General features: G+C 47.2%; 2 protein-coding genes and 2 pseudogenes across 8 annotated transcripts in view, besides 3 other annotated features; 3 read left to right on the top strand and 1 right to left on the bottom strand.

Moving 5' to 3' along the window:
* Positions 5884 to 6487, top strand: HMGN2P42 (high mobility group nucleosomal binding domain 2 pseudogene 42; annotated as a pseudogene).
* RPL12P38 (ribosomal protein L12 pseudogene 38) lies at positions 7120 to 7742 on the top strand (annotated as a pseudogene).
* CHCT1 (CHD1 helical C-terminal domain containing 1) lies at positions 9994 to 20206 on the bottom strand. 6 transcript variants are annotated; one of them, XM_005257033.6, is made up of 6 exons: positions 19887 to 20206; positions 15536 to 15637; positions 15084 to 15259; positions 14566 to 14702; positions 11863 to 12058; positions 9994 to 10239 (listed from the first exon to the last, which is right to left on the bottom strand). In XM_005257033.6, the coding sequence occupies exons 1-6, from the start codon at positions 20034 to 20036 to the stop codon at positions 10161 to 10163; spliced, it is 840 nt and encodes a 279-aa protein (XP_005257090.1). In that variant the 5' UTR covers positions 20037 to 20206; the 3' UTR covers positions 9994 to 10160. The 6 variants fall into 6 exon arrangements, with proteins under 6 accessions (XP_005257090.1, XP_005257091.1, XP_005257092.1 ...); XM_005257034.6 differs by having other exon boundaries at positions 14603 to 14702; XM_005257035.5 differs by lacking the exon at positions 19887 to 20206 and adding an exon at positions 19504 to 19701.
* The window catches only part of USP32 (ubiquitin specific peptidase 32), a 245090-nt gene continuing 241017 nt past the window's right edge, over positions 19004 to 23076 (top strand). For both annotated transcript variants that reach the window (XM_011525372.2, XM_011525371.2), the window contains exon 1: positions 19004 to 19174. In XM_011525372.2, the coding sequence (XP_011523674.1) occupies positions 19069 to 19174 (106 nt within the window). In that variant the 5' untranslated portion in view covers positions 19004 to 19068. The remainder of the gene's footprint in view (positions 19175 to 23076) is intronic.
* Positions 19395 to 19464: a silencer, noted in NCBI's record as "silent region_8793". NCBI's record gives its function as "represses an Ori minimal core promoter by ATAC-STARR-seq in GM12878 lymphoblastoid cells {active_cell/tissue: GM12878}" and the evidence as "EXISTENCE:reporter gene assay evidence [ECO:0000049][PMID:35858748]".
* Positions 19575 to 19674: a silencer, noted in NCBI's record as "silent region_8792". NCBI's record gives its function as "represses an Ori minimal core promoter by ATAC-STARR-seq in GM12878 lymphoblastoid cells {active_cell/tissue: GM12878}" and the evidence as "EXISTENCE:reporter gene assay evidence [ECO:0000049][PMID:35858748]".
* Positions 19685 to 20104: a silencer, noted in NCBI's record as "silent region_8791". NCBI's record gives its function as "represses an Ori minimal core promoter by ATAC-STARR-seq in GM12878 lymphoblastoid cells {active_cell/tissue: GM12878}" and the evidence as "EXISTENCE:reporter gene assay evidence [ECO:0000049][PMID:35858748]".

Raw genomic sequence — 23076 nt, 5'->3', positions numbered from 1 at the left:
GAAGCAGAAAGTAGGATAGTGATTGCCAGGAGCTGGGGATAGGGGAAAATGGGGAGTAGTTGCCTAATGCAGGGGTCCCCAACCCCCGGGGATCTGTGGCCTGTCAGGCACTGGGCCACGTGGCAGGAGGTGAGCAGTGGGTGGGTGAACGAGCAGAGCTTCTGTATTTACAGCCCATCCCCATCACTTGCCTGAGCTCCACCTCCTGTCAGATCAGTGGCAGCATTAGGTGAACCCTATTGTGAACTGCACGTGTGAGGGGTCTAGGTTATGCACTTCCTATGAGAATCTAATGCCTGATGATCTGTCACTGTCTCCCATCACCCCCAGATGGGACTGTCTAGTACAGGAAAACAAGCTCAGGGCTCCCACTGATTCTACATTATGGTGAGTTGTATAATTATTTCATTATATATTACAATGTAATAGTAATAGAAATAAAGTGCACAGTAAATGTAATATGCTTGAGGCCAGGCACAGTGGCTCACACCTGTAATCCCAGCACTCTAGAAGGCCAAGGCAGGCATATCACTTGAGCTCAGGAGTTCGAGACCTGAACATAGCAAAACCTCGTCTCTACCAAAAAATACAAAAAATTAGCTGGGTCTGGTGGTACATGCCTGTGGTCCCAGCTGCTCAGGAGGCTGAGGTGGGAGGGTTGCTTGAGCCTGGGAGGTTGAGGCTGCAGTGAGACGTGATTGTGCCACTGCACCCCAGCCCGGATGACACAGTGAGACCCTGTCTCAATTTTTTAAAAAAATTTAATGCATTTAAATCATCTCAAAAGCACCCCACCTCTCCCTGCTTCCGATCTGTGGAAAAACTGTCTTCCACAAAGCCAACCCCTGGTGACAAAAAGGTTGGGGACCACTGCACTAATGGATCTAGAGTTTGTGTTTTGTGTGATGCAAAAGTTCTGGAGATTGGTTTCACAACACTGTGAAAATTAATACTAGTGCATTTTACATATAAAATGGTTCAGACAGGGCTGGGCGCAGTGGCTCATGCCTGTAATCCCAGCACTCTGGGAGACTGAGGCGGGTTGATCACCTGAGATCAGGAGTTTGAGACCAGCCTGACCAACATGGTGAAACCCCATCTCTACTAAAAATACAAAAATTAGCCGGGTGTGGTGGCGGGCGCCTGTAGTCCCAGCTACTAGGGAGGCTGAGACAGGAGAATTGCTTGAACCCAGGATGCGGAGGTTGCAGTGAGCTGAGATTGTGCCACTGCACTCCAGCCTGGGTGACAGAGCAAGACTCCACCTAAAAAAAAAGAAAAAAAAAAAAAGATATATATATGTATTGTTCAGACAGTAAACTTTATGTGTATTTTATAACTATATATTATATATTTTATATATAATATATAGTTCAGACAATAAATTTTGTGTATTTTACAACTATATATATAATATATATTGTTCAGACAGTAAACTTTATGTGTATTTTACAATAATTTTTAAAAATCAGACTTCACTTTGCACAAGCAGTTAAATATGATGCATAAGTTTGAAAAAAATCTGTGAATGATCACTTCCAGAAAGTGCCTTGAAAAACCTCTAGTGTAATTTATTTTTGAATTAGAACTTTTGTGTAACAAGTGAAAGTTGATTTGCATTTAAATTCTTTCCAAGTACAGAATCAGGCTTTTTCATTCCTGCTGCTCTTTAAATAGTTTGAGTATTTTTCTTTCCTGTTACGTAATGACTGATTATTTCTCTCTATGAGCTAAGAATGACCCAGATGTTGCCTCCTGTTTCACTTAGCTATGAGGTGCGTGTTTCTGTTTTGTTTTTAGACAGGTTCTCACTGTTGCCCAGGCTGGTTTCAAACTCCTGGATTCAAGCAATCCTTCTGCCTCAGCCTCCTGAGTAGCTGGGATTACAGGCTTGAGCCACTGTGCCTGGCTCAAGAATAGTTATTTTTCATTTCTAAACGTTCTATTTTTTTTCAAGTCTGTATACTCTTTTCCTATCACATATTCTCATGCCTGTAATTCCAGCACTTTGGGAGGCCGAAGCAGGTGGATTGCTTGATGTCAGGAGTTTGAGACCAGCCTGGGCAACATGGCGAGAATCCGTGTCTACAAAAAAACATTTTTAAAGTTAGCCAGGCATGATGGTACATGCCTGTAGTCCCGGCTACTCAAGAGGCTGAGGCAGAAGGGTCACTTGAGCCCAGGAAATCGAGGCTGCAGTGAGCTATTATCATGTCACTGCACTTCAGGCTGGGTGACAGAGTGAGACCCTGTCTCAAAAAAAAAAAAAAAAAAAAAAAGGCTCGGCGCGGTGGATCACGTCTGTAATCCCAGCACTTTGGGAGACCGAGGCGGCCAGATCACGAGGTCAGGAGAGCGAAACCATCCTGGCTAACATGGCAAAACCCCGTCTCTACTAAAAATACAAAAAAATTAGCCAGGCATGGTGGCGGGCGCCTGTAGTCCCAGCTACTGGGGAGGCTGAGGCAGGAGAATGGCATGAACCCAGGAGGTGGAGCTTGCAGTGAGCCGAGATAGCACCACTGCACTCCAGCCTGGCGACAGAGCAAGACTCTGTCTCAAAAAAAAAAAAAAAAAAAAAAAAAGCAAATGTCTGTTTACAAAAACAAGAAAAATCAAAAAGACAGAGCCTTGTGTGTGGAGGAGTCAAAAAGCTTGGGCAGTCAGCATCTCAACTCAACTAAGTCAGCCCCTAAGCCCCTGTTTTCTTTTTCTTTCTTCTTCTTCTTGTTTTTTTTTTTTTTTTTTTTTGAGACAGAGTCTCGCTCCGTCACCCAGGCTACAGTGCAGTGGCACAATCTCGGGTCGCTGCAACCTCTGCCTCCTGGGTTCAAGCAATTCTCCTGCCTCAGCCTACTGAGTAGCTGGGATTACATGCACGCACCGCCAAGCCTGGCCAATTTTTGTATTTTTAGTACAGATGGGATTTTGCCGTGTTAGCTAGGCTGGTCTCGAACTACTGACCTCAAGTGATCCACCGACCTTGGTCTCCCAAAGTGCTGGGATTACACATCTGAGCCACCAAGCCTGGCCATAGCCTGTTTTCTTTGTAATGGGGAGAAGGAGTTTCCCTCACAAGTTTGACACAAAAATCCAGTGAGAATGGATGCAAAACTCTGCTATTTCTCTTCAGTTACATATATTTGTGATAATTATTATAAAGAGGAAACTTCGGGTGACTCCTGAGAGACTGGGGTGGGAGTGGGTCAGGCAGTAGTTAGTCACTACATTCGCGGTTAGGAGCCTCTTCCATTTAAAACTCGAAACCACCATCAGAGTGAACAGGCAACCTACAGAATGGGAGAAAATTTTTGCAACCTACTCATCTGACAAAGGGCTAATAGCCAGAATCTACAATGAACTCAAACAAATTTACAAGAAAAAAACAAACAACCCCATCAAAAAGTAGGCAAAGGATATGAACGGACACTTCTCAAAAGAAGACATTTATGCAGCCAAAAAACACATGAAAAAATGCTCATCATCACTGGCCATCAGAGAAATGCAAATCAAAACCACAATGAGATACCATCTCACACCAGTTAGAATGGCGATCATTAAAAAGTCAGGAAACAGCTGGGCACGGTGGCTCAAGCCTGTAATCCCAGCACTTTGGGAGGCCGAGGCGGGTGGATCACGAGGTCATGAGATTGAGACCATCCTGGCTAACACGGTGAAACCCCGTCTCTACTAAAAATACAAAAATTAGCCGGGCACCATTGGGCGCCTGTAGTCCCAGCTACTCTGGAGGCTGAGGCAGGAGAATGGCGTGAACCCGGGAGGCGGAGCTTGCAGTGAGCCAAGATTGCGCCACTGCACTCCAGCCTGGGTGACAGAGACTCCGTCTCAAAAAAAAAAAACAAAAAAAACTGAAAGTAAAACTTTAGGGAAAGTACCCTTTATTCTCTAAGGAAAAGGACCCTTCTCGAAGGCTCCGATAGTGAGGCACTTTCTCTAGGATGAGCCTCACCCCTAAGGCAGCATAGGCCAAGGTATGATTTGGGGATTTCCACCAAGGCTCCCCACTTCCCAATAGCCTCTCCAACAACCTGTTTCTGGTGTTCCCAAGTCCACCATTATACTTTTGGGTAGAGATACTTTTAAAAAATAAAAATTCTAGAAGAAGTAATACATTTTGGTTAGGCGCAGTGGCTAATGCCTGTAATCCCAGCACTTTGGGAGGCTGAGGTGGGCGGATCACCTGAGGTCAAGAGTTCGAGACCAGCCTGGACAACATGGTGAAACCCCATCTCTACTAAAAATACAAAAATTAGCTGGGCGTGGTGGCGGGCGCCTGTAATCCCAGCAACTCTGGAGATAGGGCAGGAGAATCGCTTGAACCCGGGAGGCAGAGGTTGTGGTGAGTGGAGATTGCACCACTACACTCCAACCTGGGTGACAGAGTGAGACTGTCTTAAAAAAAAAAAAGAAGAAGAAGAAGGAGAAGAAGTAATACATTTTAGTCTTGAGGGTTATTTCTATCTTGTGAGAAATGAGTGTGTGGGCCAAGAGTAGGTGAAACATATGTCGTTGGTATGTAGGAAGTGCGCTGGCCTGGGGGACCTCAGGTCTGAGTTGTCGTTCCAGTTCTGCCATTGACTTCCTGCACAACCTTGGAGAAGTCGCCTTTCTTCTTGGGCCTCTGTTTTCCCCTCTGAACGAGGAGGTGGTTGGTCAGAATTCTCTGTTTTGGGTTGGTTCATTCATTAAAAGTTTGCTAAGTACCTATTATATGTTGAATACTATTGTAATTGCTTTGGATACAGCAATGAACAGGACAGACAAAAATCTCTAACCCTGTGGAACTTACATTCTAAGGGAAGAAGACAGTTAATAAACAAGAAATACAATAATTGACCGGGTGTGGTGGCTCACGCCTGTAATCTCAGCACTTTGGTAGGCGGAGGCCAGCGGAGTTTGAGACCAGCCTGGACAACATGGTGAAACCCCGTCTCTACTGAAAATACAAAAAAATTAGCCAGGCTTGGTGGCGCGCTCCTGTAAGCCCAGCTACCTGGGAGGCTGAGGCAGGAGAATCGCTTGAACCCGGGAGGCGGAGGTTGCAGTGAGCCGAGACTGCGCCATTGCACTCCAGCCTGGGCGACAGAGCGAGATTCCGTCTAAGGAAAAAAGAAAGAAAGAAAGCTTCAAAACCAAGCCTCACTTGTTGTCCATTTTTGCCTTTATGCGTCCCGATTGTTCTCAAGGTTGATAAACGAACCCCTGGCTCCCTTCTCTCATCTTCATCTTTTGCACACGCTGGTTTGCACATGTTGGTTGAAAGAACAAGGCTGTAGTGTCTCACAATTCCTCTAGGTGGCAGTGCTGCCTTGACTACTGGGGATACTTCGTGTTTTTGGACTGTTCCCAAAACAGCCACATTTCTGAAATCTCTTAGGAGTAGAAAACATTGGAAAGCCCATAGTCATCATGGACACCCTCCAGCCCGGCTTCCCTTCTCTCTGAAATCCTCCCTGCTTTGACAAAACTGTCAGGGTCTAGCCAAGCCAGGCTGGCCCCAGGCCTATGCCTTGGCCGTCTCATCTTGCCACTTCCAGGAGGCGATGACTCTAAGGAGGAAAGAAATGGCGCTTCCTCCCCGCTTCCCCCATTCATGCTTCCCTGAACTCCTTCTTCGAGACTAGATTGATATTCATTTTAGCCTTGTCAGTCTATGACGATACTTACTTCTGAACACAAATCGAGGGAGGGAGGGAGAAGAGTCACACACATCTGCCCTGGCCTCTCCTGCTCCAGGGCAGCCCTGCACCCTATATGCTGCTGCCTCAGGCAGAGCCCTGGAAAATATGTCATTTGTGTTTTTGGGGAATGTTTGGACCTACTTACCCTCCTGGAAATGATAAAAGTTCACAAAATTTGGAGGAAGAAGAGGCGAGAACGATCCCCGAACCGAGCAAAGCCCGCGCGCCGCTGCATCCTGCGCCCAGTGCCTACGTCTCAATGCCATCGTCGCCGCCACCATGACCAAGAGAAAGGCTGAAGGGGATGCTAAAGGAGATAAAGCCAAGACGAAGGACGAACCACAGAAAAGATCCGCGAGGTTGTCTGCTAAACCTGCTTTTCCAAAGCCGGAGCCCAAGCCTAAAATGGCCCCTGCAAAGAAGGGAGAGAAGGTACCCAAAGGGAAAAAGGGAAAAGCTGATGCTGGCAAGGAGGGAATAGCCCTGCAGAAAATGAAGATGCCAAAACAGATCAGGCACAGAAAGCTGAAGGTGCTGGAGATGCCAAGTGAAGTGTGTGCATTTTTGATAACTGTGTACATCTGGTGACTATACAGTTTGAAATACTATTTTTTATCAAGATTTATAAAAATGCAGAATTTTATTTTACTTTTTTTTTTTAAGCTACGTTGTTAGCACACAGAACACTTCATTGTTGTTTTTAGGGGAAGGGGCATACGTCACTAATAGAATGACTCCGAAGCTGGATTGATATGGGGAAAACACCTTTCCCTTCTAGTTTTTAGAGACTTCCTTTTGGCTCCCAGGAGGAGGGATTCCCTGGCTTTGATACACATGGCCACCTTGGCACAAAAGGCTTGCGGTATGGAAAAACAAATTTATTTTTATGTCCTCTTCTCCCTTTCCATCTTTCAGCATAGACTTAACTCCCTTAAGCCCAGACGTCTGTTGGGACCTGACCCCTAGTCATTGGTTACCAGTGTCAGGCAATCTGGACTTTCCAGATGCCACTGAGATGGCACCTGTCAAAAGAGCAGTGGTTCCATTTCTAGATTGTGAATCTTCAGATAAATTCTGCCATTTTCATTTCACTTCCTGAAAGTCAAGGTTGGTTTGTGAAAAGTTAACAGCATGCTGAATGTGAAATATCAACCCTCACTCTAAACTTTCCCTGTTCAGAGCATCAGATGAAGACTTCATTGGGTTTTATACTGGCTTTCTTTTTGGTAGTCCACTGAAGAATCCAGGGAGTTTGAAAGTTGTTGTATACTGTTAATGATTGTCTGCCCATGTCCTGCCTGAAATACCATGACTGTTTATGGAAAGTATCTTTAATAAAGCTGGATACAGTTTGGCTTGGAAAAAAAAAGTTCACAAAATTTGCAGCCTGACAATGCAATAGAAAAAGAAAAACTCGCTCTTGGCTTTCGGCTTGGAGGAGGCCAAGGTGCAACTTTCTTCGGTTGTCCCGAATCCGGGTTCATCTGACACCAGCCGCCTCCACCATGCCGCCAAAGTTCGACCCCAACGAGATCAAAGTCATATACCTGAGGTGCACCGGAGATGCCACTTCTGCCCTGGCCCCCAAGATCGGCCCCCTGGGTCTGTCTCCAAAAAACGTTGGTGGTGACATTGCCAAGGCAACGGGTGACTGGAAGGGCCTGAGGATTACAGTGAAACTGACCATTCAGAACAGACAGGCCCAGATTGAGGTGGTGCCTTCTGCCTCTGCCCTGATCATCAAAGCCCTCAAGGAACCACCAGAGACAGAAAGAAACAGAAAAACATTAAACACAGTGGGAATATCACTTTTGATGAGATCGTCAACCTTGCTCGACAGATGGAGCACCGATCCTTAGCCAGAGAACTCTCTGGAACCATTAAAGAGATCCTGGGGACTGCCCAGTCTCTGTGGGTTGTAATGTTGATGGCCGCCACCCTCATGACATCATAGATGACATCAACAGTGGTGCTGTGGAATGCCCAGCTAGTTAAGCACAAAGGAAAATATTTCAATAAAGGATCATTTGACAACTAGTGAAAAAAAAAGAAAAAGAAAAAGAAAAACTCATTTTCTGGGGAGAAATTCAAGCTGGCAGCAGAAATTGGCATAAGTAAGGAGGAGCCAAATGCTAATCCCCAAGACAATGGGGAAAATGTCTCCAGGGCATGTCAGAGACCTTCTTGGAAGCCCCTCCCATCACAGGCCCAGAGGTCTAGAAGGGAAAAAATGTTTTCCTGGGCCAGGTCCAGGGCTCACCTGCTGTGTGCAGGCTCAGGATTTGGTGCCCTGCATCCCAGCTGCTCCAGCATGGCTAGAAGGGTACAGCTTGGGCCATAGATTCAGAAGGTGCAAGCCACAAACTTTGGCAGCTTCCACATGGTGTTGAGCCTGTGGATGCACAGAAGTCAAGAATTGAGGTTTGGGAACCTCCACTTAGATTTCAGAGGATGAATGGAAATGCTTGAATGTCCAGGCAGAGGTATGCTGTAGGGGTGGAGCCCTCATGGAGAACCTTTCCTAGGGCAGTATGGAAGGAAAATGTAAGGTAGGAGACTCCACACAGAGTTCCCACTGGGGCACTGCCTGGTGGAGCTGTCAGATGAGGCCCACTGCCCTCCAGACCCCAGAATGGTAGATCCACCAACAGCTCACCATGTGCCTGGAAAAGCTGCAGACACTCAATGCCTGTGAAAGCAGCCAGGAGTGGGGCTGTATCCTGCAAAGCCACAGGGCTGGAGCTGCCCAAGACCATGGGAACCTATCTGTTGCATCAGCATGACCTCAGTGTGAGACATGGAGTCAAAAGAGATCATTTTGGAACTTTAATATTTGACTGCCCTGTTGGATTTTGGACTTGTATGGGACCTGTAGTCTCTTCATTTTGCCCAATTTCTCCCGTTTGGAATGGGTGTATTTACCCAATGCCTGCAACCCCATTGTGTCTAGGAAGTTACTAACTTGGCTTTTGATTTTACAGGTTCATAGGCGGAAGGGACTTGCCTTGTCTCAGATGAGATGTTGGACTTGAACTTTTGGGTTAATGCTGAAATGAATTAAAACTTTGGGGAACTGTTGTGAACGCATGATTGGTTTTAAAATGTGAGGATATGAGATTTGGGAAGGGCCGGGGCGGTATGGTATGGTTTGGCTCTGTGTCCCCACCCAAATCTCACCTCTAATTGTAATAATACCCACATGTTGTGGGAGGGACCAAGTGGGAGGTAACTGAATCATGAGGGTGGGTTTTTTTCCATGCTGTTCTCATAAGTCTCATGAGATCTCATGGTTTTATAAAGGGGAGTTCTCCTGTACACACTCTCTTGCCTGCTGCCATGTAAGATGTGACTTTGCTCCTCATTTGCCTTCTGCCATGACTGTGAGGCCTCCCCAGCCACGTGGAACTGAGTCAATTAAACCTCTTTCCTTTATAAATTACCCAGTCTCAGGTATGTCTTTATTAGCAGTGCGAGAAAAGACTGACACATGGGCTCAAGCGATTCTCCCACCTTAGCCTCCCAAATAGCTGGGACTACAGGTGTGCGTCACTATGAACAGCTAATTTTTTTGTAGAGATGGGGTTTTCCCATATCGCCCTGGCTAGTCTGGAACTCCTGAGCTCAAACAAACCTCCACCTCAGCCTCCCAGAGTGCTGGGATTACAGGCATGAGGCACCATGCCCGGACTTAAAGTGTTTTAAACAACAAGTAGAACATGACCCAGGACAAACAAAACACATCAGTAGCCTTACTTTAGTGTGCAGGCTGTGGATTTGTGACTGATGGCTCGAGCCACCATGTTAGCTAAGACCATCGGTGTTGTTTCCTCTTTGGTCTCCTGCCTCTAGCCTCGCTCACTTCCATGCACTTTGCTCACAGTCACCAGAGCATCTCCCCAATACCGTAGTGACACCCATTCATTCCACTACTTGACACTTCCCTTACCACTGCCCATCCCAAGCTACCCACAAAATGAAGTCCAGACAATGCAGGCGGGCTGCCAGGCTTGCCATTCTCTGACCCCAGGCTCCCTCCCTCCCCACCTGTGTGCTCCACTGGCAAACACCCAGCTCCTTTGTTAACTCCCCGGAGGCCTGCCCCAGTCACCTGTATTTACCCTGCTGTCGTGTCTTTTCTATGTCTGTCTGCTCCACTAGACTGTGATGGTCCTTGACAAAGTGACCACATCTTATTCATCTGTGCATATGTGGGGCACCTGCCACTTAGAAGGTGGCTGGCAAATATCTTTTAAACAAATTTAAAATGTACGAATGATGACTGTTGGTCAAGTAAGGTAGAACTGTCATAAGAATGTTTATTTCCCACCTCATTTATTCCTAATTAAGACCTGAGAATCTTTTTGATAAGGACAATTCTTTTCCCTTTTTGGTCTCCATTCCCCGTGCTCTGAGAGCCAGGACAAGCGGGCCCTTTGTCCCAGTTGGTCTTCTTACGGTTCAGTCTCTGGAGTTTCTGGGGCTTCCTTTATCCTCTTCCTCTTGAGTTTTGGTTTTTGAGAAAGCTCCCTTAAAGAATCTGAAAAAGAGAAGGTCAGAGACAGTCCCAATGACATCACAAATAGTAAGAATCTCAGTCTGTAATACATGGGGGGTGTTGTAGGGGCAGAGAGGAAGAATAGCAAAATCCTATCTTACTTCCCACCTATATCACTTAGTTTTTTCTCACAGAAACCCAGTAGAGAGATGGCATTGTCCCCAATTTACAGATGAGGACTGTCACCCAGGTCCAGGGTAAAGCAATGACCTGCCCAAAGTCTTACAGCAAGTTAGGGGAAGAGTCAGGGCAAGACCCGAGTTTCCTCGACCTCTGGCTCCAACCTCTGATTCTTCCTTACTCCTCTCCTAGGCCTCATGACCCAATTCCCAGTACTGTTTGCAAACCCCATTGCCAAGTTTTAATTAAGAACTGACTTTATGGCCAGGCACAGTGGCTCACGCCTGTAATCCCAGCACTTCGGGAAGCTGAGGCGGATGAATCAGTTGAGGTCAGGAGTTTGAGACCAGCCTGGCCAACATGGTGAAACCCCATCTCTACTAAAAATACAAAAAATAGCCAGGTGTGGTGGCACATGCCTGTAATCTGAACTACTCAGGAGGCCGAGGCAGGAGAATCACTTGAACCGGGGAGGCTGAGGTTGCAGTGAGCTGAGATCGCACAACTGCACTTCAGCTTGGGCCGCAGAGTGAGACTCCGTCTCAAAAAAATAAAAATAAAAAATAAAATAACTTACTTTATTAACATAGTGCCAAAGAAATACCACATAGGTTATTTTCATTGCAAGGACAGACTCAGTGACTAATCTTAGCCCATTCCCGGTGGGTCCATGAGATATTCTGTGCTTTGTCAGGTAATAATGGGAAGAGCATAACCTCATCTCTTATGTAGCCTCTAGCCAAAAACATGTTTCATTTGAACCCATGAAGACTTTCGAGTCCTGTTTATAGAGGAACAAGCTAAAAGATGTCAAAAGGAAGCAATAGGGAATAAATCAGGAAGGAGAACATTCTGCTGAATAATAGCCTCATCTTTTCAACAGGTCAGGAATGTAAAAAAAAAAAAAAAAAAAAAAAAAAGCCAGGTGCGTGGCTCACACCTGTAATCCCAGCACTTTGGGAGGCTGAGGCGGCTGGATTGTGTGAGCTCAGGAGCTCAAGACCAGCTTGGGCAACACCGTGAAACCCTGTCTTTACTAAAAGTACAAAAATTAGCCAGGCATGGTGATGGGCATCTCTAATCCCAGCTACTGGGGATGCTGAGGCAGGAGAATCGCTTGAACCCAGGAGGCAGAGGTTGCAGTGAGCCGAGATAGCGCCATTGCATTCCAGCCTGGGTGACAGAGCGAGACTCCGTCTGGAAAAAATAAATAAAATAAAATAAATAAATAATAAAAACAAAAACCTTTCTATAATGAGCAAGCCTGGGGAAGAGGGGGACTAAAAAGAGAAGAGAAAGTGGAGAAAGAGAAGAAAAAACAGAAAGGAAAATGCGGGATGAAGAGAAGATGGAAAGGAGGGAAGAGGAGCTTGTCAGGCTGGGGGCAGAGGCTCCCGGCTGCTTGAGTCTACTCTTGGGAAACACCCAGACACCACTCACAAACTCCTGGGTCCAGGCATCACCCCAACACCAAATGGTCATTACCTTTCTTGACATGGTCCTGGGATCTTGGCTGCCCAGGCAGGGGGCTCCCTTGACCTGGGGTCTGCATGTTGGACAGCCGCTCCTTCATGCCGCTGATGTTGCTGTGCAGCCCCCATGCATGGCAGAGCTTGGGCAGACTGTCTTCCCGGTCGGCCAGCAAGGACCTCTCCGGCGCATCCGAGGCGCAGAATGTCACCTGCCATGGAGCCTCCGTGTTAAGGAGAGTGTTGAGAAGAGGGGGACCTGAACTTTAGAGTCCCAGCACCGCATTTGTTGAGAAATGCTAAGGTCTGCCTGCCGGTCACACTTGCCTAACCAAAAGGATGGGGTAGGAATCACAGATGTGGGAGAGAAAAGACTGTGGGGACATGGAGGCAAGCTGCCAATGGTGTCCTCCTGCGTTGTCCTTTATTTTGAGATCATGTCTTCCATCTCTTTTTGGAACTGCAGTGTCTTATTGTTTTTTTGCAATGAAATGATATGTGTTTTAAAGATCTAACTTAGCAAAAATTAAATTGGGAGCCTTACTCGTTTAGCTGAGGCAGGAGAATCCCTAGAACCCTGAAGGCGGAGGTTGCAGTGAGCCGAGATCACGCCACTGCACTCCAGCCTGGGCAACAGAGCGAAACTCTGTCTTAAAAAAAAAAAAAAATGGGAGCCTTTGTAAGCTTTGAGTCTGTTAAAAAAAAAATAAAAATTTTAGAAATGAAATAAATTGAGAGCTTGAATTTTGAAATTAAAATTCAAAGACTATATATATATAAATTTTTCGGCCTGGTGCGGTGGCTCATGCCTGTAGTCCTAGCACTTTGGAAGGTCGAGGAGGGCAGATCACTTGAGGTCAGGAGTTCAAGACCAGCCTGGCCAACAAGGTGAAACCCCGTCTCTATTAAAAATACAAAAGTTAGCTGGGCATGGTGGTGCATGCCTGTAATCCCAGCTACTCAGGAGGCTGAGGCAAGAGAATCGCTTGAACCTGGAGGTGGAGGTTGTGGTGAGCCAAGATCTCACCATTGCACTCCAGCCTGGGGGACAAGAGCAAAACTCTGTCTCGAAAAAAAAAAAAAAAAAATTCAGGCCAATGAAATCCAGAAATCTAGAAATCAGTAAAGTGGCAGCTCCTCTTATTCAGAAGAGAAATCATTGAAGTTCTCCAATCGTTACATGTTCAGAGGAAGAAACAGATGCAGAGAGGGAGAGGACTTGGTTAGGGCTGCACGGCGAGAGTGCAGGAGGGCGCAGTTAGAGCACGGCTCTCATCCCAGCCAGATGGAGGCTGAACCCTTCCTCTTCCTTCCTACTTGCTATAAAGACTGCGACAAATTACCTTACTTCCCTGTATTTGGGATCTTCATTTACACACTGCAGACAATAAACCTAATTACCACTTAGGGTTACTTTTGAATATTACTTGAAGGAATATAAAGTACCTGGCACATAGAATGCTTTTACATCTGCTTTATCTATGATTATTATTCCAGACCAGTGGTTCTCAAAGTGTGCTCTGCAAACCCCCAGGAGTCCCTGTAATATTTTGACCTCATGGAGCCCCTGAAACCAATGGATTCTAATGAAACCTAGTATGAAAATTTCACTGATACGAATCTGAAAAGGCTACATATTGTATGATCCCGACGATATGACATTCCGAGACAGCAAAACTAAGAGACAGTGAACCTAAGATCAGTGGTCGCCAGGGGAGTGGGGGCAGGAAGGCAGGGACAAATAGATGGAGCACAGGGGGTTTTTAGGACCATGGCACTCTTCCATATCATACTGTAATGGTAGATACATGTCATCATACCTTTGGCAAAACCTATAGCCCATACAACATGAAGAGTGGTAGGCTGGGCGCGATGGCTCACTCCTGTAATCCCAATGCTTTGGGAGCTGAGGCGGGCAGATCACCTGAGGTCAGGAGTTCGAGACCAGCCTGGCCAACATAGTGAAACCTCGTTTCTACTAAAAATACAAAAATTAGGCACAGTGGTGTGCACCTGTAATCCCAGCTACCTGGGAGGCTGTGGCAGGAGAATCACTTGAACCCAGGAGGCGGAGGTTGCAGTGAGCCAAGATCGCGCCACGACACTCCAGCTTGGATGACAGAGTGAGACTCCATATCAAAAAAAAAAGACTAGCTGAAACAGGGAAGGGGTGAAAGCACCTCTCCCTAAGACACACCTACCAATGCTATGTCAGTTTACCATTGCCATAGCAATACTTGGAAGTTGCGACCCCTTCCCATGGCAACAACCCAGAAGTACCACCCTTTTTCTGGTAAATTCCAAATAACCACCCCATAATTTGCAAGTAATTAAAAGCGGGGATAAATATGAGCTCAGAGCTGCCCCTGTGCTGCTACTCTGGGCACACTGCCCATAGGGTAGCCCTGCTCCACAAGGAGGAGTGCCTCTGCTGCTACTCTACACGGCCGCTTCCATAAACTTGCTGTGTAATACCACCAGCTCACCCTTAAATTCTTTTCTGGGCAAAACCAAGAACTTTCCCGGGCTTGCCCGTGCATCAAATATATATGGAGAACTTGATGCTGAGCCTCGGCCTCTTCAGCCCACTCTGCCCAGGGCAGGGGTAAAGGTCAAGCAGCAGAGTCTTGCCCTGGCAGTGAGCCCTGGGAAGGACCAGAGGGGCTCTGGGTGTGTCAATCCCAGGCCTCCCCGCAAGTCTAAGGACACATCAACCAACCCTCAGCTGTGCTCGGGCGGAATGTCTTGCGCCTCACCAGGAACTTGGCCGGCTGGCTGCTCTTGGTGTACTTGTAAAGTCGGCGAAGCTGCTTTGCTTCCAGCTCCGAGAAGAGGGAGATGAACCGCCAGAGCATCCTGCAAAGGGGGAGACCCTAGGCTGGGGAGGTGGAGCACAGCGCTTCCTCCCTCCAGCATTTGTCTCAGGGTCAGGACCCACCCAGGGGAATATGGGCCACATGCCCCTTTGGGGTTTGGGGTTGGGGGAATGGAGGGGTGGGGATTTGCCCAAACTTGAATATCCTATCCTGGTATTGAGCGCCTGCACGCAGTTGTTCAGTCAGAGACAAGGTGCAGTCAGGGCTGTCCTGAGTGACTAGGAGCTCTCTCCATCCCCTCAGGCTCTTGACTCCTCCACATAAAGATGAAGGACTGGGGGATTGACTAAGGTGTCCCCTTGAATGAAGAGGGGGTTGCCCAGGAGTAGGTATGGGGAGCAGAGCAAAGAGACTGCCCTACTTTCTCCAGTGTTTGATTTCCCAGGCTTGGCAGTAATGCTGCAGAAAGGTGTTGATGTGGTCCCCTAGGACCACAAGGCTCTGCTTCATGTACTTCAGCTTCTTCTTCTGGGGAAGGTCCCTGGGCAGGTGCAACTTTCGCAGGAACTTCTTCAGCGGTCTTAGGTATTCTTTACACTGAGGAGGCAACAGGTGAGGTGAGGGGCCATGGGAGAAAAGAAGAGGCAGATGGGCAGTCCCAGGTATCCAGCACACCGGTCTGGCCGCAGCCCTGAGTGGCCCAGTGCTGCGTGTTTCGGGAGGTGGCTCTGGTGCACCTCTCACCAAAAGTCCTTACCAAGAGTAAGACAAGTGGGGCAATGCGCTGTGGGTCTGAGGCCTGCCATTTCCTGACTCAGGCCTCCTGACCAATGGGGAAAAGGGGACAGGGTTCCAGGCTGGCTCTTTACTCACAGTTTTGAAGGTGTCCTGATCCAGGCCCTTGGCATGGCGCATGAGCGAGTCTCTAGCAGGGCTGGCGCTGGAGCTTGTCTCCAGGCATGACACATTTGTCACCTAGGAGGAGGCAGGGGGCACTAAGCCGGGGGATTGGACCGTTACTCCTGGGGGCAGTGCTGGCAGGGACTGACCCAAATGGCAGCCAAAGCCCTTCTCCATTGCCCTCAGACCTTCTTGACCCAGCATGGATGTGAGTGAGCCTTGGGCAAAGAAACCCATCTCTGAAAATCTCTGCTTAGAAAACCTAGAATATTCCACCTCTTTCTTTTATAATAATCACAGCATATTCTACTAGGTAACTGCAAAGCACTTGGTAAACATTAGCTCATTTTATCTTCCCGCAAATTCTGTCAGGTTAGATGTTGTTATAGGACCAACAGGTTTATATGCCTGCTGGACACTCACAGTCCAATATATAGAGACAGCAAAAGTGGCAGCAGACCAGTCTGGGCAATATAGTGAGACCTGGTCTCTACAAAAAATTACAAAAATTAGCTGGGCATGGTGGCGTGCACCTGTGGTCCCAGCTACCCAGGAAGCCAAGGTGGGAGGATTGCTAGTGTCCAGGAGTTGAAGGTTGCAGTGAGCCGAGATCATGTCACTGTGAGAAAGAGTTTATTGATTGCTGGGTGCTCAGTGAGGAGATGGAAGGAGATCCTCAAATCTATCTTCCCAAGGAGTTCTGGACTGGGGTTTTTAAGGAGATCATGGAGTGGGAGGGATTGAAAAAACTGGGGCCATTGATTGGTCAGAGTCGGGGGATGAAATTATGAGGATGTGGAAACTGCATTCTTTGGTGAATCAGGTTTTTGAAGGGTTCTTTAGACCAACTGCCATCTGTAGTTTGAGTGGTATGTAGGATCTGAAATAATATTTAAAGAGAAAACGCAATGCTTCATAATGTTCGAGCTGTTATCTGCAGAGCAGTTAAGGGAGTATCCTTGTAACAGGGTCTATGGAATTCCTTTTTTTTTTTATTCACTCTATCACCCAGGCTGGAGTGCAGTGGTGTGATCTCGGCTCACTGCAACCTTGGCCTCCCGGGTTCAAGCGATTCTCCTGCCTCAGCCTCCCGAGTAGCTGGGATTACAGGCGTGCACCACAACGCCTGGCTAATTTTGTATTTTTAGTAGAGACCATGTTGGCCAGTCTGGTCTCAAACTCCTGACCTCAAGTGATCCACCCACCTCGGCTCCCAAAATGCTGGGATTACAGGCATGAGCCACCGCACCCAGGGTCTACGGAATTCTAAGGAAACAGGCACCAAAGAACTCCAAGGAAGTGGGTCAGAGAGCAGGCTGACCTCATGATTCATGCTGAATGAGCTGCAAGCTCAGTTAATTTTCATTTTTCCCCTCTTTTTTTCTGATTAATTTTATAAAGTTTCTAGGGACGGTTTCAATATCATTAACCCTAGTTACAGATGAGAACAATGAGGCATCAAAAGATTTAAGCAGCTCCTTGGGGGAATGAACAGGGATTCATTTACTCACTCACTTGGCAAATGTTTACTGACTGCATCAGACTGGGCCCATTTCTTTGCATCCCTAGCCTCTAGCATCGTCATGTGATATGGTTTGAATGTGTGTCCCCTCTAAATCTCATGTTGAAACGTGATCCCCAATGTTGGAGGCAGGGTCTGATGGGAGGTGTTTGGGTCATGGGGGTGGATCCTTCATGAATGGGCTTGGTGCCCTCCCTGCCCCAATTAAGTGAGTTCTCACTCTGTCAGTTCATGTGAGAGCTGGTTGGTAACAAGAGCCTGACACGCCCTCCTCTCTCTCTTGCTTGCTCTCTCACCATGTGACAAGCTTGCTCCCTCTTCATCTTCTGTCATGCTTGTAAGCTTCCTGAGGCCCTCACCAGAAGCAGATGCTTCGTGTACAGCCTGCAGGACTGTGAGCCAAATAAACCTCTTTTCTTTATAAATTGCCTAGCCTCAAGTATTCCTTTATAGGAATGCAAAATGGACTAATAAACCATGCATCTAATGACTATTCAGAAAAAGTGGATGATGGTGATGATGAGAAAGAACCTTTGACCACAAAAGTGGGGCAAAGAAAGCTGAAAATTAGGCCAGGCCCAGTGGCTCACGCCTGTAATCCCAACATTTTAGGAGGCTGAAGTGGGTGGATTGCTTGAGCCCAGAAGTTCAAGACCAGCCTGGCCAGCATGGCAAAACCCAATTTCTACCAAAAATACAAAAAAATCAGCTAAGTGTGGTGGCACGTGCCTGTAATCCCATCTACTTGGGAGGCTGGGGCAGGAGAATTGCTGGAACCCAGGAGGTGGAGGTTGCAGTGAGCCGAGACTGAGCCACTGCACTCCAGCCTGGGTGACAGAGCAAAACTGGGCACAGTGGCTCACACCTGTAATCCCAGCATTTTGGGAGGCCGAGATGGGTGGATCACCTGAAGTCAGGAGTTCAAGACCAGCCTGGCCAACATGGCGAAACCCCCTCTCTACCAAAAATACAAAAATTAGCCAGGTGTGGTAATGCATACCTGTAATCCCATCTACTCAGGAGGCTGAGGCAGGATAAATTGCTCCAACCCAGGGGGCAGAGGTTGCAGTGGGCCAAGATCATGCCACTGCAGTCCAGCCTAGGTGACAGAGTGAGACTCTGTCTCAAAAAAAAAAAAAGAACAAAGAAAAAAAGAAAGCTGAAAATAAGTGGCAACAAAGTGACTGTGAAATAACACTAGAAGTCAGAACTGGATTTGCCCCTCACCTTTCAAAAGCTTCTCAGAAAAGTATGAATTCTAGTCTGTGTTCGGGGAGAACAAGGAAGATCCCGTCCAGACCACTCTGAAGGGAAAGGCCAGGGGGAGGGAGGTGCATGGAGAGGAGATGGGACACAGGCTCCTCCAGGTCCTAGAGACAGGACTCTGGCTGATCAACTCCTCCAACACAGCACACACACCACACAACCACACACAGACCATGTGTATACATACACATACTCTCAAGTCTTCATAACCAACAATGAGAGGCGACCTCTTCCCCATCATCTCGCCAGGAACACAGGTCATGCATAAACTTCTGAATGAATGAAAGTTCTTGTGCTTTAGGCCTCTTGCTATCTCAGGTACCCTATCATTGTTCTTCTCTTCTTTCCTGAATTTCATGTTCTCTACTTTCCAAAACCAGCCCCTCCGGGACCCTCCTTCCCTCCCTCCCTCACACCCCACTTCACCTGCTCTAGTGGCTTGTCCCCTTCACCCCCTTGCCCATCTGAGGCCTCCATCTCAGCAGGTGTGCCGGTAGGCTCCAGGGTGGCACTCCCCACGTCCCCTCTGGCTTCTGACCCACTGCTTCTGTGACCTAGCCGTCTCAGGGAGTGGGCGGTTTGGCTCCAGAACTCGGAGCAAAGCCACGGCAACCGCCAACACAGAACCCAGCCCCCCACCCCGCTCCCATTTCCTCATTCTTAGGGGTGGCTGCAGCTGGCCCCTCCAGCTGGGATCTGGACTAGGGAACGGAGCAAGATGTGCGGGGTCGAGCGAAGACTTTGGCAGAGCGCACAGCAGGCCAGGAGAGGCTGGCGCCCCTTCTCCCAAGAATACTGTCAGATGCTGATCCTGACACCACCTGGTAAGGCTGTTGAACTCATTTTCCTGCACGTGTGCCATTCCTGCCTGCTGGGTTACGCCGTGGTGGGGGCTCCCCGAGAGGAAAGCACAGTTTGTAAAATTCTTTTCTGATTTGGGACAGAGGTCTAGGGAGAGCTGAAAGGGAGAAGGGACACAGTGAGCCAGCACTGCCCCTGCGGCCTCCAGGAAGTTGTTAATAATAAGCCCTCCGTGCTGGGTGCTGGGTGCTGGGTACTGGGTGGGATGTGTGTGTTTTGGGGGTGTATAAAGATCCCCGCCAGTGCCTACGGGCTCTGTAACCCTCCCCGCGGCCTTCCCTGGGGCAGGTACCGCAGCGGTCCCGCTTCACACAGGAGGCGCTGAGACGCGGGCAAGTCCCGTCGCCGGCCTCGTGTGCGCAGCCACCAGGCGGGGAGCCGGGTGTCGGCGAAAGTCCCGCCACCCCGACTCTTCCTACCCGCGAGCCCTCCAGGGACCCGAGGCCGAGGGCGGAAACGCGGTGGGCAGAGTCCGGGTGTAGTCTGAGTTGGCCGGGCAGGGCCGGGAGGTGCTCAGGAGGCCCCGGGACCCTCGCCCCTGGCGCGGCAGCAGCGCCCCCTCGCGTCCCTGGGCGGCACACGGCGGGGTCCCGGCGACGAGAGACCGTTGCCCCCGCAGTTTCCTCACTCGAGCCACCTTTTCTTCCCTGAAACTAGGAATTCCTTCTCCCGGACCTTCCTTCGTGTCCTCTGGGCCCGGGCCCAGTTGTCCCCACTCAGTGTGGCCCTGTTCTTCGCCTGCCTTCGCGACAGTGCGGTGGGACCGCCGTCGGCCCGGGCCTCCCCTGCCACCCAGCGGCCACCTCGGGCACAGGAGAGGGGCATAGCGGCTTCAAGTAGGGGTAGCCCGGAGGCCCGGAGCTTTGGAGGAGCACCCTTTGAGTCCAGAAACTTTTTAACTTGTCCTCTATGCCAGCATGTTCAGCAAACGTCTTGTTGTTATTGTTGTCGTTGTTGTTGTTGTAAGGGGAGGAATAAACCTTCCACTTATCCGCCTCCAAGATGGAAGGTCTGTTTTCTGATCATTAATTCCAGATTATTTTGCGAGTATTAAGAAGGATAATTATATTGGCAAGAGCAAGGGGAAAGGAACCTTTACATACGTTCCTACTGGCAGTGAGATTGGTAAACAATGTATTTTAAAGTGTTTAAATGTGCATGCTCTGTGACTCACCAATTCTACTTATAGGAGGAATTAGTCCTAAGGAGAGAAGATGATGAGGACTGTTACAATAGTGACAATTTGGAAACAATTGCAGTGTCACTAATAGAATACATAAATCATGGTATATTCATAAAAACATGAAATATGTCACTATATATCTATTGACATGGAAAACAGGAACTAAAAGGTATGATTCCATTTTTGTACATATATATTTATATATGCATAGAAAAAAGTCTTGAAGGATACACTTCAAAATATCAAAGGTAATTTTTCACTTTCTTCACATATTATCTGTATTTTTAACAATAACAATTATGCTTTACTTTTACAGTCAGGAAAGAGGTTTTTTTGTTTGTTTGTTTGTTGTTTGTTTTTGAGACGGAGTTTTGCTCTTATTGCCCAGGCTGGAGCAATGGCGTGATCTCGGCTCACTGCAACTTCCGCCTCTCGGGTTCAAGCCATTCTCCTGCCTCAGCCTCCCGAGTAGCTGGGATTACAGGCTTGTGCCACCGCGTCTGGCTAATTTTGTATTTTTAGTAAAGACGGGGTTTCTCCATGTTGGTCACGCTGGTGTCTAACTCCCGACTTCAGGTGATCTGCTTGCCTCAGCCTCCCAAAGTGCTAGGATTACAGGCGTGAGCCACCGCGTCCGGCCAGGAAAGAGTCTTTTTTAAAAATCTACTCATAAGGATTAAATAACATCATTAAAAACATTATATAATGCTAAGTTTTAAAACAACATAATTCTGCCGGGTGCGGTGGCTCACACCTATAATCGCAGCAGTTTGAGAGGCCGAGGTGGGTGGGTCACCTGAGATCAGGAGTTTGAGACCAGCCTGGCCAACATGGCAAAACCCTCTACTAAAACTCTCTACTATTTTTAGTCTCTACTAAAAATACAAAATAAAATAAAGTAAAACAAAATAAATAAAATAAAACAAAACAAATAAAATAAAATAAAATAAAATAAACAAAATAAATAAAATAAAAATAAAAATACTAAAAATACAAAAATTAGCCAGGCGCGGTGGTGCATGCCTGTAATCCCAGCTACTCAGGAGGCTGAGGCAGGAGAATCGCTTGAACTCGGGAGGCAGAGGTTGCAGTGAGCCAAGACCATGCCCCTGCACTCCAGCTAGAGCAACAGAGCAAGACTCCGACTCAAATAATAATAATAAAATAATAATAATAATAATAATAATAATAATAATAATAATAATAATTTTTTTTAACCTTGAGTTGCAGGTTTGTTATATAGATAAACCTGTGTCATGGGGGTTTGTTGCACAGAATTTTTTTTTTTTTTTTGAGATGGTGTCTCGCTGTGTCACCCAGGCTGGAATGCAGTGGCGCCATCTCTGCTCACTGCAAGCTCCGCCTCCCGGGTTCACGCCATTCTCTTGCCTCAGCCTCCCGAGTAGCTGGGACTACAGGCCCCTGCCACCACGCCCGGCTAATTTTTTTGTATTTCTAGTAGAGACGGGGTTTCACTGTGTTAGCCAGGATGGCCTCCATCTCCTGACCTCGTGATCCACCTCAGCCTCCCAAAGTGCTGGGATTACAGGCATGAGCCACCGTGCCCAGCCTGTTGCACAGATTATTTTGTTACCCAGGTATTAAGCCTAGTACCCATTAGTTATTTTTCCTGATCCTCTCACTTCTCCCACCCTCCACTCTCTGGTAGGCCCCAGTGTGTGTTGTTCCCCTCTACGTGTTCATGTGTTCTCATCATTTAGCTCCTACTTATAAGTGAGAACATGCGGTATTTGGTTTTCTGTTCCTATGTTAGTTTTCTAAGGATAATGGCCTTCAGCTCCATCAATGTTCCTGCAAGGGACATGATCTCGTTCTTTTTTATGGCTGTATAGTATTCCATGATGGATATTACCACATTTTCTTTATTCAGTCTACCATTGATGGGCATTTAGGTTGATTCCATGTCTTTGCTATTGTGAATAGTGCTGTAATAAATATACGAGTGCATGTGTCTTTATGGTAGAATGATTTATATTCCTTTGGGTATATATCCAGTAACAGGATTGCTGGGTTGAATGGTAGTTCTGTTTTTAGCTCTTTGAGGATTCACCACACTACTTTCCGCTATGGTTGAACTAATTTACACTCCTACCAACAGTGTAGAAGTGTTTCTTTTTCTCTGCAACCTTGCCAGCATTTGTTATTTTTTGACTTTTTAATCATCATCATTCTGACTGGTGTGAGGTGGTATCTCACTGTGGTTTTGATTTGCATTTCTTTAATGACCAGTGATGTTGAGCTTTTTTTCATATGCTTATTGGTTGCATGTATATTTTCTTTTGAAAAGTGTCTGTTCATGTCCTTTGATGGCTTTTTAATGGGGTTGTTTGTTTTTATTCTTGTAAATGTATTTAAGTTCCTTTCAGATGCTGGATATTAGACCTTTGTAGGATGCATAGTTTGCAAAATTTTTCTCCCATTTTGTAGGTTGTCTGTTTACTCTATTGATAATTTATTTTGCTGTGCAGAAGCTCTTTAGTTTAATTAGATCCCATTAGTCACTTTTTGCTTTTGTTGAAACTGCTTTTGGTGACAGAACACAATTCTGAGAAGATGCAGTAGAATACAAAAAAGGAAAAGTTAATAGTAAAAAAAAAAAAAAAAAAAACAGAGGCCAGGCACGGTGGCTCACACCTGTAATCCCAGCACTTTGGGAGGCCA

The sequence above is a fragment of the Homo sapiens genome, chromosome 17 (assembly GCF_000001405.40).
Source record: "Homo sapiens chromosome 17, GRCh38.p14 Primary Assembly".
NCBI classification, from domain to species: Eukaryota; Metazoa; Chordata; class Mammalia; order Primates; family Hominidae; genus Homo; species Homo sapiens.
Note: the sequence above shows the minus strand (reverse complement) of the source record. Positions and strands in the feature narration are given on the sequence as shown.